At 48.3% G+C, this 13,307-nt stretch overlaps 1 protein-coding gene across 28 annotated transcripts in view, besides 1 other annotated feature; it reads right to left on the bottom strand.

The window, feature by feature from the left end:
* PKNOX2 (PBX/knotted 1 homeobox 2) overlaps positions 1-13,307 on the bottom strand; it is a 268,639-nt gene that overhangs the window by 212,859 nt on the left and 42,473 nt on the right. The window lies entirely within an intron of this gene.
* Positions 5,253-5,784: an enhancer, noted in NCBI's record as "H3K4me1 hESC enhancer chr11:125084643-125085174 (GRCh37/hg19 assembly coordinates)". NCBI's record gives its function as "activates a minimal SCP1, AML or CMV promoter by ChIP-STARR-seq in primed H9 embryonic stem cells {active_cell/tissue: H9 hESC(primed)}" and the evidence as "EXISTENCE:reporter gene assay evidence [ECO:0000049][PMID:30033119]".

Below are 13,307 nucleotides of genomic sequence, written 5' to 3'. Positions count from 1 at the left end.
ACCAGGTACCCATGTCTGGAGCCATCTCCGATGCTGCCTCTGCCTTCTCCCTCAATCCCACACCCAAGCTGTGGGGATTCCATGCCTAAAAAAGACTTCTCAAATCTATCCCTTCTGTCTCCACTGCCACTCTATAATTCGGAGCTCAGGGGTTGGAAATCAGCCGCTCTCGGCAGAACGCAGCCGCAGATATTTTGTGGGATTTGCACAGTGTTTGTGTTTTGTTTTGCTTTTAAAAAGGTAATATGGAACATGGCTCAAAAATCAAAAAGTGTAAGAAGGTAAACACTGCAATGTTTCCCTCCCATTCCTGTCTCCCACCTGTCCAAGCAAATACAAATATAGATTCTTGTTTTCCCCTTTTTATACACACTTTTTTTTAAACTTGGTGGGTTATTTTTTTCCTTTTTACACATATTTTGGAGATCTTTATCAGTACAAAGAAAACTTTCTCATTTCTCTTTTTAAATGAATAGTATTCCATTGTCAGGAAATTCCATAATTTAATGAATTGGTCTTCAATTGATGGATATTTGGGTTCTTTCCAATCTTTTGCTATTACAAATAATGTTACAAAGAAGGTACTTAGACATATGTCATTTCCTATAGGTACAAGAATGTCTTTAGGATCATTTCCCCAACATGAAATTGCTGGGTCAAAGGCATATGATTTATCATTTTGATGATATTCGAAATGGCCCTTCAAAGGGGTTGTGCAGATTTACACCATGAGACAGTCTGTTTCCCCAGGGCCTTGCCAATAGAATGCGATATCAAATTTTTTGGCTTTTTGCCCATTTAAAAGATAAATGAATAATGGTATCCCAGGATAGTTTTAATTTGCATTTCTCTTACTATGTGCAAGGTTGATCATGCTCTCATACATTAAAAGCTATTTATATTTTCTTTTCTGTGAATAGTCTGTTCATATTCTTTGCCCATTATTTTTTCTACTGGGTTGTGTTTTTGTTGTTGTTAATTTTTAGGAGCTCTTCATATATTAGGGAGAGTAGCCCTGTGATATGAGTTGTAAAAATTTTTCCACAGGTTGTCATTTTCTCTTAGCTTTGTTTATAATTTTTTTTTTTTTTTGAGATAGAGTTTCACTCTTGTTGCCCAGGCTAGAATGCAATGGCGTGATCTTGGCTCACTGCAACCTCTGCCTCCCAGGTTCAAGAGATTCTCCTGCCTCAGCCTACAAAGTAGCTGGGATTACAGGTGTGCGCCACCACCTCCAGCTAATTTTTTTTTGTATTATTAGTAAAGACAGGGTTTCACCATGTTAGCCAGGCTGGTCTGGAACTCCTAACCTCAGATGATCTGCTTGCCTTGGCCTCCCTAAGTGCTGGGATTACAGGTGAGAGCCACCATGCCTGGGCTACTTATAATTCTTGATGGTAGTTTAAAAATGTGTAGTTTGAATGCCAACAGGTTGAGAGCCAACACCCTCCCACTGGCTGCAGCCCCCACTGCTCCCTATACTTTTGCAGTTGACATGATTTACCCTTTTTGATTGCCAGCCTGGACATGGGTGTGATGCCTGGAACTGCCACTACCATCTTGTGACCCAGAGGAAAGCCAGTTGGAAAACAGAGCTAAGATCCAGAGGATGACAGAGAAAGAACCTGGGTGCTTGTGGATGTCATGGAGCCCCTGAATTTCTCCAACCCTAGAGCAGTCCTGGTACTGAACTTTGTAACACATAAGAAACTAAATGCCTCACTCTTTAAGCCTTTTTGGGTTGGATTTGCTGCTACTTACAGTCTAAGGCTTTCTAACTGATACACATCTTGACTGCTCTTCTTACAAAGGTCTGGTCCCCTCTAATCCATGCGCACTGCTGCTCAGGCCAGTGCTCTAAAATATAAACCTGACAGCTCCACTCCCCATCTAAATACATGCACTAGCTCCCCATCTCCTGCAAGATACCATCCAAGTGCCTTAGCTCTCACCCTGTCCCTGCCTACACCTCCCAGCCTTGCTCACACCTCCGTGCTTTTGCTCAGCCTATCCCTCCTGCCCTGAGCTCCCTTTTCTTCTTTCTGCTGTCTAATTCCCAGGACGGTCTATTCTGGCACCACCTCCTACCAGCAAATTTTGGAACAAGTTCCTGTCCCCCCCCCATCACTGCCACGCAGCACCCAGAGTCTTCTCTATGGCTGCACAAACCCCAGTGTCCATGCATGTTTTTACATGGCCGAGCCCCCACCCCACTCACTTCCCCATGAGTTCCTTGACGGCAGGGACAAGGTCTTATTCACTTCTGCATCCCCAGTACTTAGCTCGGGGGCCAGCGTGAGGTGGTATTCATGGCATTTGCAAACCTGAACGGAGCGCCCCCCTTTCATCCTGTTTGTTCCCACAGATGCCCCCTCAGGCCTCCTGCATCCAGCTCCTCAGAACCAAAGCCCTCCCACCCAAGTCCACATCACTTTAAAGAGCAGCTAGAAGAAAGGCCCTATCCAAATCTGCCTGCTCTAAGAGGAGAAGGAGAAGACCCATTGAATCACCAGATCAAACAGGGCCGTCTGTCTCTGCATGGGCTCATGCCAGGGTCCCCAGCGCTACAGCAAATCATCCAGTGCAACAGAAAGTTGAGGTTAGGAGCTGGGTTCCTAGCCACTTACTAGCTCATGAATTCAGACAAATTACTTAACCTCACTGCAATTCGGTTTCCTTATTTGTGATGGAGGGATCAGGAGGCCATTGTGAAGATGAAACAAGCGTAATTATCTCACATAGAAATTGCTCAGTAAATGATAGCTGTAATATTCCCCCTCCTAGGCTCAAAACCACCCCCTAGGTAAATGAGGAAAAGTCCATGCAAAGTAGACCCCAAACACTTCCCTAGGGTGGGTCTCTTTTCCAGCTCAAACAGCAGTATGGGGACCACATAGCAAAAATATATTCATGGGGCAATCACGCAGAGGAGACAGCCGATGTGCACTGACACTTCCTGTGTGCCCGCCTGCGCTAGGTGGCTTCTACCTGTTTCCATGCACATTCCCCACAACAACTCTGCAAGGAAGTATTTGTAGCTGGCCTTGCAGTGAGGCTTAGAGGAGTTAACAACTGCCTAGTGTGAATGTCCATGGCCATGATCCTGGCTACGTGGAAGCGTGAAGATCTGAACCCAGCCCCACTGGGCTCCTGCCTGAGTTCTTTTCCTTGTCTCATGTTGCCTGCAAACTACATGGAGTGAGAGCTGGTCTGGCAAATCTAGGACTTGTGATCCCTGCTGATTAAGCCTAATAAGGTGTCCAGAGAGGAGTGTGGAAGGAGAGAGATCCAGGAGTGGGAAAGGAGGGGATGGAAGAGTGGAGAGAGAAGCTCCTAGAAAAGGCTTCTCTCATATCACCAGCGTGCTGTTGTCTGGAGGGTCGTGTGTGCACATGCCTGTGTGTGTGACTCCATGGGTGGGTGTTCATGCATGTGTGTGAGTGTGACTCTGTGTGTATGACTGGGTGTGACTTTGTGTGTGTGTGAGAGAGACTGTGTGTGTGTGTGTGTGTGTGTGTGTGTTTTGAGGGGATGGGGAAACTTTCACAGCCTGGCCTCCTGCCTAATTTCACGCACATGCACATCCTGGCCACACCGAGCCTGAACATGCCCCATGTGAACTCCACATGTGGTCAACAGTGGGAGTCTTCACCTTTTAATACGCCTTTAACAAGGTCCCCTGTTGCAGGCTGCTCAGGCCAGCCACGTGACCTCAGTGGTACCAGCTCTGTTACTAGCCCCTGACTGACCTGGCCAGACTGCTGAAGGGACAGTGGAGGGGAGGAGGGAGGAGGGAGGGAGGAAGCACCTTCGGAAATGCAGTGGGCTTCCCTGGGCAGGCCTTCCCAAATCCAGAGCGCTGGGGCAGAGAGAACTCTGAGAAAGGCACCTCTGCCCGGGTGTCTCTCAGTTTTCACAGACGACCAGAGCACAGGGGAAAACACACACCCCTTCTCATAGGAGCAACCCTTTTGAAGAAGAGGGAAAGGGGTGGGAAGGGAACGAGGGGAGAAGGGGCAGGCTGGGTTCTCAGCCTCGGTGCCTCCCCAGGCGGGTTTCTCAGGCCCCCTCAGCACCTGCCGGGACTCACCCCCCTACCAGGACTGCCCTGAGTTTATCTGTCCTCTTCCTGCTGGGTGGAGGCAAGAGCAACTTACCCCATCTGACACTGTCTATGGGAAGGAAAACGGGGCCCAGAGAGGGGCCCAGGGTCACACCGTGGCCTGTCAGGAGCAGACAGACTCGAAACCACAGCTCAGACCCCTCCCTGCCTTAGTCCTCTGGCTACTCATGGCTCTGCAGTCCTCTGAGCCCTGGTAGACAACAGCTGTAGCTAAGGATTTTCTCCTTGAGCAGGACAAAAAGAGACAATCTCACGGGACCTGACCCAAGGTGAAAAATAGATATCGTTGTTTAATGTAAAAACATCTCCGCAGCTGGGGTAAGCCTCATCTTCTGCATTCTTTAAAGCTTTTGAGGATCTAGTGTTCTGAAATCAATCTAGAGAAGCAATGAAGTTGAGCAATTCAAGTCAGCAGCAAGCATGGACTGCAAGGCCCTTCTTTAACCATTCCCTGGCTTCTCTGATGTTGGCAAAACCAGATGCAGAGAATAAATGACTGAGCGCTGTAAGTGACCACCTAGCCCTGAAGAAAATATAATCATCCAGTCCTCCTGGGGCCTTGTGATGTCTTCAAAGACCCTTTCACTTCCAGCCTCTGCTTTTCACTTATGAGGGTAATGGGAAATAGTTAGTTAGTTAGTTAGTTAGTTTATTTTGAGACAGAGTCTCGCTCTGTTGCCCAGGTTGGAGTACAATGGCACGATCTTGGCTCACTGCAACCTCTGCCTCCCAGGTTCAAGTGATTCTCCTGCCTCAGCTTCCCTAGTAGCTGGGATTACTGGTGCACACCACTATGCCTGGCGAATTTTTGTATTTTTAGTAGAGATGGGGTTTCGCCGTGTTGGTCAGGCTGGTCTTGAACTCCTGACCTCAGGTGATCCGCCTGCTTCAGCCTCCCAAAGTGCTGAGATTGCAGGCATGAGCCACCGCGCCCAGCATGGAAATAGCAGTTTATATCCTGGGCCTGCTCCTGCTTTTCTAGCTGAATGACCTTGGGCAAGTTATGCTCGTTTTACAGGTGAGAAAAGTAAGGCACGAAGGGATCTCAGGTTGGCCTGAGTCACGGAACTGTGACACACACAGTGCTGATTCTCCTAACTCACAGTCCTGAGCCCTCTCCATGGCCCCCAGCCTTTCTTTCAGCCATTCTAGCCTTGATTAGAAAACCAATGATTACTGCACTAACTCCTAAGCCCCGTCTTCCTGGTGGGGGAAGAACAGCCTTCTTGCAGCAAGCTGATATTTGGACAATCCGAGAGCCTCCCAACTGCTCCGGAAGACACGGCCTTCCCCTCCCAGGACCTAGCAACGCTGCCAAAACAAGAGGAGAAAGCTTCCAACAAAAGTTTGTTTTCATGGAGATTTTATTTCCTTCGCGGACGCTCTCCCACCACAGATTTCTCTTTGTTGGAGCTTGCATTCAGAAGTCACCAGATACACAGCCCCTGACCCCGCAGGCCCCTGGGGGATCTCACGCCTTTATCTCTCCTCCCAGGCCCACAGGCTGCCTGCTTCCCCACTCAAAAAGCCCTTTGAGCCACTATGGATAGAGAGGGGTTCTCGGAGTGGACAGAAGCCTTGGAGGGGCTGAGCTGTCCACATCAAGGTGGGGAGGAGAGAGAAGAGAGAGAAAAAGAGGAGGGTGGAGAGGGAAGGGCTCTGTGTCTAAGGGTTGGCAAGGAGTTGGAGAGGCTGCACCCCATCCCCTCCACCCCTCAGGCAGGGGCTGCATTGCCTGATTGATGGTGCAGATGCTAACTAGGGGGTGCTGACAGCAGGACGCAGACCTCAGAGGCTGGCCCAGGGTATGGCTCAACTTGCACCCAGGCAGGGCCAGCCCAGGCAAAACTCAGAAGGGTATAAGATTTGTCTTAGGTGGAGGAGCCTTTCCTTTTTTCCCTTTTCAGGATCAGCTATCCTCCCAGGTACATGATTTAGACCTCTTACTCTGGCTGTCACTCTTAGCCAGAAGAAAAGAGGCTGACAACACAAATCCATGCTCCAGAGCAACCCCCTCCCGAGTAGGGCATTCAAAAGAGGGGGACAGAAAGGGAGTAAGAGGGAGAGCAAGAGCGAATCAGAAGAGGAAATGCCAGCTCTGAGGAACAAACTGGGAATGGTAGAATTTCAGGTTCAAGGGTAGGTGGGGCTGGGAGGTGGCCGCTCATGGAGCCCACTCAGATGACAGCCTAGCTCTCTTCCAAGCCACCCTCCAAGAGGTGGGTCCTGACATGGGATGGCACAGCGTAGACATTAGGGCCAGGCAGAACTGAGTTTGATTCCCCATGATACAATTTGCTAACTTTGTGATCTTGGGCAAGTGACATAACCTCTTTGGGTCTCATTCCTATCATTTGCCCACATGGAGATAATATCATCTCCAGGTTTTTGTGAGGAAGTGAGATAGCCGAGCCAAAAGGCCAAGCCGGGCAGCTGGCAAGCAGTAGGTGCTGGAAACCCCTCCCTGGCCCTCCTTCTGCGAGGACTGAGGTTGGGGTGGCACAGGCAGTCCTTGTCTTTACTTTCCACATACGTGGTTTGGGGCTTTTTTCCTCTGTGCGCACCATCTCACTCCCCTCCCGGATCACATGTGGCCAGAATTGCCGTAGAATTTGAAATGTTCACATTTTAAGTGTTTTTTTAACTTTTGGGCCAGGCACAGTGGCTCACGCCTGTAATCCCAGCACTTTGGGAGGCCATGGCGGGCAGATCACTTGAGCCCAAGAGTTCAAGACCAGCCTGGGCAACATAGGGAGGCCTTGTCTTTACAAAAATTACAAAAATTAGCTGGGTGTGGTGGCATGTGCCTGTAGTCCCAGCTACTCAGGAGGCTGAGGTGGGAGAAGCACGTGAGCCTAGGGGGCAGAGACTTCAGTGAGCCCTGATTGTGCACTGTACTCCAGCCTGGGTGACAGAGTGAGAGATCCTGTCTCAAATAACAACAACAACAAAATCTTTTGTCCTGAGGAGACAATGAGCACTGACAGTTTACAAAGCATTTTTCAAAACCAGCATCTTATTTGTTCCTCAAATGGTCTTATTCCCATTTAACAGATGAGGGAACTGAGAGTCAGGGATCCAAAGCCATCCCATAGGTAAACAACAAAGGTAAGATGAGAGCCAAGGCTTGTCTAATGTCTGATGCAGATGTGAGCTCCACACTCTCTACAAAGGGCAGGAAGAGGTGGCAGATGTGAAGAAACTTGGGGCTTAGACACAAAGGGACGCCACAAAGGATGATAGCATTTTGAAGATGGGGGAGAATAAAATTCTAGAGCCTGGATTTAGAAGACAGGGGGCTGAAGGCATCTCAGAGGAGTGCCTGTGGCCCAAGGAGGCCGAGAGAGAGGACAACTTCACATAATTTCAGTGGTGAGGCTAGGAGTTCAGGGAAAATTGTCCTATTTCATCTCTGACCCAAAGATCTAGGGAAGAGAGCTCTGGGTCAGATGGTGGTGCAAGAGCCTACATATGGGGTAGACATGGAACCCGTTGAAGTCTTACTTCCCAGGTTGACCTGGGCCAAGTCAAAGTGAGTTCTGAGCCTAGACCCTTAATTGCCATCTACCTACAGGATCTCCACCAAACAAATAAACAAAGGATGTGGGAGCAACTAGGGAAGGCCATTGGTCCTAACTGTAGAACCGGTCAAGAGGACCTCCAGCTTGGGGGCTGGCTCTATGGATCATGGATCCTGCCTCCTCTCCACAGGAACCACCTATCAGCCCAGGGATATAAAAAGCCCAGCTGTGAAGTTCCTTTTCCCTCTCCTCTCTTCCCTCTCTGTTCAGTGTAGTCCCCTGGCAACACCGAGCTCTGACAGGCTCTTTAAGAATCCCCTCCTAGAATCGCTTGAACCCGGGAGGCGGAGGTTGCAGTGAGCCGTGATCACGCCGCTGCACTCCACCCTGGGCAACAGAGCAAGACTCTGTCTCAAAAAAAAAAAAAAAAAAAAAAAGAATCCCCTCCTATTCTTCTGTCCAGTGTTGACCTGTCGGGGCCACATCAGATACAATGTCAGGTATAACCACACCTGGGTGGGAAGAGGACCAGAAGGATTAGTCCTGGAGGACACTCCTGCCCGGAGATTTCCAGGATCTCAAATCCACCATTACCAGCTCCAGAAAGAATGCTCCCCTCTACCTCGTTCAGCACACATAAGACTGGTTACATGTTTCTAGACTGATCTCCTGCTTAACCAGCTGCAAAGGAACTCTTTCAAAGGGAAGATGAGGAATCCCTCCTGGGTCCAGAGAAGCCGTGAGTCTATATTGTGAGCAATTTCAGACAGTCTCCTCTTGCTTTCAAATGTACTTAATCAACATGAAAAGGATTGCGAGGGCTGGAGCTCTTACAGGTAGAACAGAGAAGAATAATGTTCATAAATCATTTAGCATACAATCCAAACAGAGGTGTATTTTTTTTCTTAAAGGAAAAGGCAATGCCAAAGAAATAGAGCCATATAGGAAACCAAATACATCGTGACTTGTCCCCACATGTAGTGTGTCTCCAAGTAGGGCAGGGCAGCCTGTTTACATCATTGTCATCTGCAATCTGACCCTCAATACTGATTCTCCAGCTTGGCTTCCTCCCCCATTCCCAAAGCTCAGATCAGCAGAGGAGTCAGCACCAAGGAAGGACAACTGATAAAAACAGCTGCATTCCCACCTCCCCCTGCAGCCCAAAGCAGGCACCAGCTCTCTCCCGAGCAGCCGGCTCCACCCTGGGCAGCTGGGCCTGAGCTGGAAGCTGCAGGGGCCAGGAGGGCAGGCCCAGAAGACCAAGGCCACATTCTTCCAGGGCTCAGCTCAGAAAGGCCTTCCCTGACCACCCCAATAGAATAATGCCCAGGCCCCAGTCGCTCTCTGCCAGAGACCTGCTTTGTTTTCCCTTCAAAGCAATTATTACTAGTTTACATTGTATTATATAGATGTTTATTATATGTCTCCAACCAGGATCTAAAATTTATGAGGGCAGAATATTTACATGTGTTGTCAACAGTTGTATTCTCAGCACCCAGAACAGTGCCTGATACATAGTAGGTACTCAGTAAATATTTGTAGAATGAATGACTGAACAAATAAAGGAATACATAAAAATACATCCTTCTCTCTCTTCCAGGTAATGTTCCAGATTGAGAAACCCTTGCCTACTCCGAAGTAGGAAGCTGCAGTTGGGAGTGAGAAGTCTGTGAGGGGTCTCTGCTTCTGACTGTCATTTTGACCCAGAGGAAACTATCCCTGCTTACCAGCCTCACCCTCTCCATCTGCAGAATGGGAATTACTCCAGTGCAAGGAAGGAGAGGGAGGAATCGGGGAACTGACGTTCACTGTCTTCTCTAAGTGCTGTGCACTGTGCTAGGCACCTGACCGACAAGCATCGTCTCATTCATTCCATACACAACCTTCGTTCAAGATTAACATTATTATTCACATGTTATGGATAAGGACACTGAGGCCCAGAAATATAAAGTAACTCACTCAAACTTGCACATATAGAAAGGAGGTTTCAACCCAGATCCGGAAGCCACTTCTACACAACAGGACGCCCCAGTGCAGTTTATCCTTTTACCCCTGTAAAGGACACATCACTCCAGAAGAAAATTCACACTCTGCCCAGTGGAATTTGAAGATCCTGAACTCTGCACTTTCCCAGAAGTAGGAGGCGGGACAGTGAGGGTGACAACTCGTCTTGGTGTGTCTGAAACTTTCCGGGTTTTAGCACTAAATTCCTGTGTTCCAGGAAACCCCTCAGTCCCAGGTGAACAGAAACAGTTGACCTCCCTAAGTGAATGCAGCCATAGCCAGAGACCCTGAAAACTCTGAACCAAAGACCACGGAGTTTTCTCAGAGGGAGCACCTTCTTCACATCTTCCCACAGGCAGTGAAGGGAGGGCCTCGCTGTGCTGCACCCCATGCACACTCATCCAACACTGCACCTGCATCCACATTTGTGCCCACAGCAGAGGGAAGAGCAGGAAGCTTCAAGGCATCATTGCCTTCCTGTGCCCTGAATGCAGGCTTTGGACTCAGAAGAAAAGCATGGGCTCCTTCCCTAAAGGGCGAGATGACATCCCCAAAGAGAGAAGGGCAGATTCCTGGAATTCCAGTCAGTGAGGCTTTGGTTTTAGCCAGACTCCCTCCGACACAAAGAGCAAAATTCAGGACTGCCAATAAGTTCCTAAGAACCACTGGCCCATGGGATGGACTCTTCAGGACTCCCAGATCAAAGGATTCAGAGGGAAAGGTCACCTCTGTGGGATCCTCTTTCTGCACAAGAAGCTGTCCTTCTATTCTCCAGCCAGAGGTTGGCAGAACCTTTACGGCATAGCTTCATTCTCCTGCTGCCAGAGAGATGACCTGTCCAGGGCTCAGTCCCCCACACCCCCACTACCTTGCTTCACCTCCAGTGATGGTCAGCATGCATCCTGGGCCACCTCTGACCTCGAGCATGTGCTGATCTGGTCTTTCTTCTGGAACCAGTGATAAAACAAGAGCAATACCAGCCCAGAACTGCAGCAGAGACCAGGTGGAGGTGAGGGTGGGAGTGAAGAATGACACCAGGGTGGGTATAAGGGTGGCACAGGACATGACTCCCTCCTGCTTTTGACGTTTCTATTTTCAGGGCCTTGGGAGAGGCGCCCTTTTGCCTCTTTATTTGTTTTTCCACAACAAAGATGGCTCTGATCTATATCTTGCAGCCCTCCCTTGTCGTCATCCTCCTCCCCCTCCAGCCTGCCCCATCTATTACTGTGTGTTAGCATGTTGCTTTATGAATGTTCTCCAACTTTTTCATTTGTGTTTTCTGTAGCCATTGGTTCTGTGCCTTCTGAGTTTTCCTAATTTTCTTTCCTTCTTCCTGAGCATGCTATGTCTTTAACCTTCCTCTTCTTTCCTACTACCCCAAAAGCAGAACCCTCCTTCTCCTTCCCAAGCTGACCCCACCTGGTCTCTGACCCTCCATCCCATAGTGATGCCCATCAATTGTGAGTGTGTGTGCGCGCACATGTGTATGTGTGTGTACCTTCAACCTCCTACTTGGGCTACCAGCCTTGATCTACAACATGCAAAATCTACCCAGACCCATAGGCATTATACTGAAGTGGAAAGAACACTGGCCCAGCATACAGGATCTCACCTGTGACACTTCTTGGCCCTGCCTGTTTCAGAGACTTTGCTTCTTCACCTGTAAAGTGGATTTAAAGTCTCCCCACCCTGACTCCCTTAAGTGTTGTGAGGACTAGGTAAGGCAAGAGATTTGAAGTGCTTTGTAATTCATAAGATGGATTTAAAGAATTATGTAATTTTTAAATTATTTTCTTAGCCCTCTGGAATTATATTCCTCCCATCTCTCTCTTCCCTTTCACCACCAAACTTGTGAAAGAGCGATTTGCGCTCACAGCTGCCACTTCCTCACTTCCCATTCTCTCCTGAGACCCTGAAACCCGGATACTGGCCCCACAACTCCAGTGCAGCTGCCATTGAGGTGGCCAAGTACTCCCATCCACCCAAGAAGTGGCCATTTCTCAGTCACAGCCCTCCTTCACTCAACACATCCACAGAATGCAGCACACGTCCCCTCTCGCTCCCTGAACCTGCTCATCTTTGAGTCTTTACTATTTCTGTTAATGGTACCCTTTTCTTCCAACCACCCAAGCTGTATGAATCTTGGAATTCTTATTGATTTATCCCTCATGACCATTCAAACTCTCTTCTACCTCTCACCTTAACCTGAAAACAACCCAGACCCCACACATTCCCACACAGGCACATTTTAAGCCCTAACTGGCCCAATTTCCACATACGTCTCTCATATTCACTTTCTCCTGTCCCATTACCAACATGCTTGCTAAATCCTTCATTACTTCTCACTCCCAGACCATCACATTAGTCTCCTAACTCACTCCTGTCTGCTCTGATCTGCCTTACACATTAGTGTCTGCAAGATTTTTTCTAGTGCAAAGTCTTCTCTTGTTACTCCTTATATCAAAAACTTGCAATGGCTCCTTGTGGGCTATAGAAAAGTGCAAATTCCCTCAGCTGGCATAGAAAACCTCCCAAGACATGGTCCCAATCTAACTTTCCAGGTTCAACTTACAATCTACCTCGGTTCTGTGGCCACACTCCCAGTAAATGAGTGTATTTCAGGTCCCATGACTATGCTCCAAATTTACCTGCCTCAGGACCTTTGCATATCCCTTCTATCTGCTGGAATGCCTGTTTTCCACTGATGCCTATTAGAACTCTACTCCTCCTTCAAGCCCAGCTCAAAAGTGATTCTCATCCATGAATCATCCCCTGGTCACCCCAGGGAGAAGTAATGTTTCCTCATCCAAACTCATAGCATGTTGCCTAAGATACCTTTCATCTTTGCATTACAGCTACTTACATTTGTCCTATCTCCTCTATTAGACACATTCATTACAGAATTCCATTCAGTGCATTTTAAAATCCACAGTAGTGATGCAATCAATATTTGTTGAATTAAAAAAATGGATGACTAAATTAAGTCTCCCTGGCAGTTTTCAATCCAAGGACCACAGGTAAGCTTTGCTTACTGATGGCTGACAACCAGAGGCCTCCTCCTCCATTCAAGAGTCATTTGGCACAGCCAGCCATGCCCCCGACATGCTTATTCCCATCTCTTCCTCACCTCCCAACCACCCATACCCGTCTCCAATCTCTTCCACCCTGACTTGCCACTAAAACCTCTCTCCCCAGGTGCCAGTAGCTTTCATGCCGACAAGCGAAGGAATACTCTCTTATTCTTTCCCTTACTGGATATTTTGGTCCTTGTTTCAGCTGACTCTCATCCTCATCACCAAGCTTTCTACTACTTTGGTTCAGTAATGCCACCCTTTCCTGATTCTCCTCCTAACTCTCCTACCCTCTCTGTGTCTCTTGTGGTTTCTCTCGCATCATGTTTTAAACACAGTTTTCCTCTGGATTCTGCTTTTGTCCACTGCTCCTCCCGCTCTGCACATGCTCCCTGGGAGAGCTTATACACCCGTCATGGGCTAACGGCACTCACATTTCTGTCTCCAGCCATATTCTTGAATGTGTGTATTCAATTTCCTGCTAGACGTCTCCAGCTATATGTTCCATAGATGTTGGAACTCAAGATGAAAAGAAGACAGAAAAAGAAAAAAGGAAAAACAAAGAAGGGAGGAAAGGAAGGGAGGAGG

The sequence above is a fragment of the Homo sapiens genome, chromosome 11 (genome assembly GCF_000001405.40).
Source record: "Homo sapiens chromosome 11, GRCh38.p14 Primary Assembly".
Taxonomy (NCBI): domain Eukaryota; kingdom Metazoa; phylum Chordata; class Mammalia; order Primates; family Hominidae; genus Homo; species Homo sapiens.
Note: the sequence above shows the minus strand (reverse complement) of the source record. Positions and strands in the feature narration are given on the sequence as shown.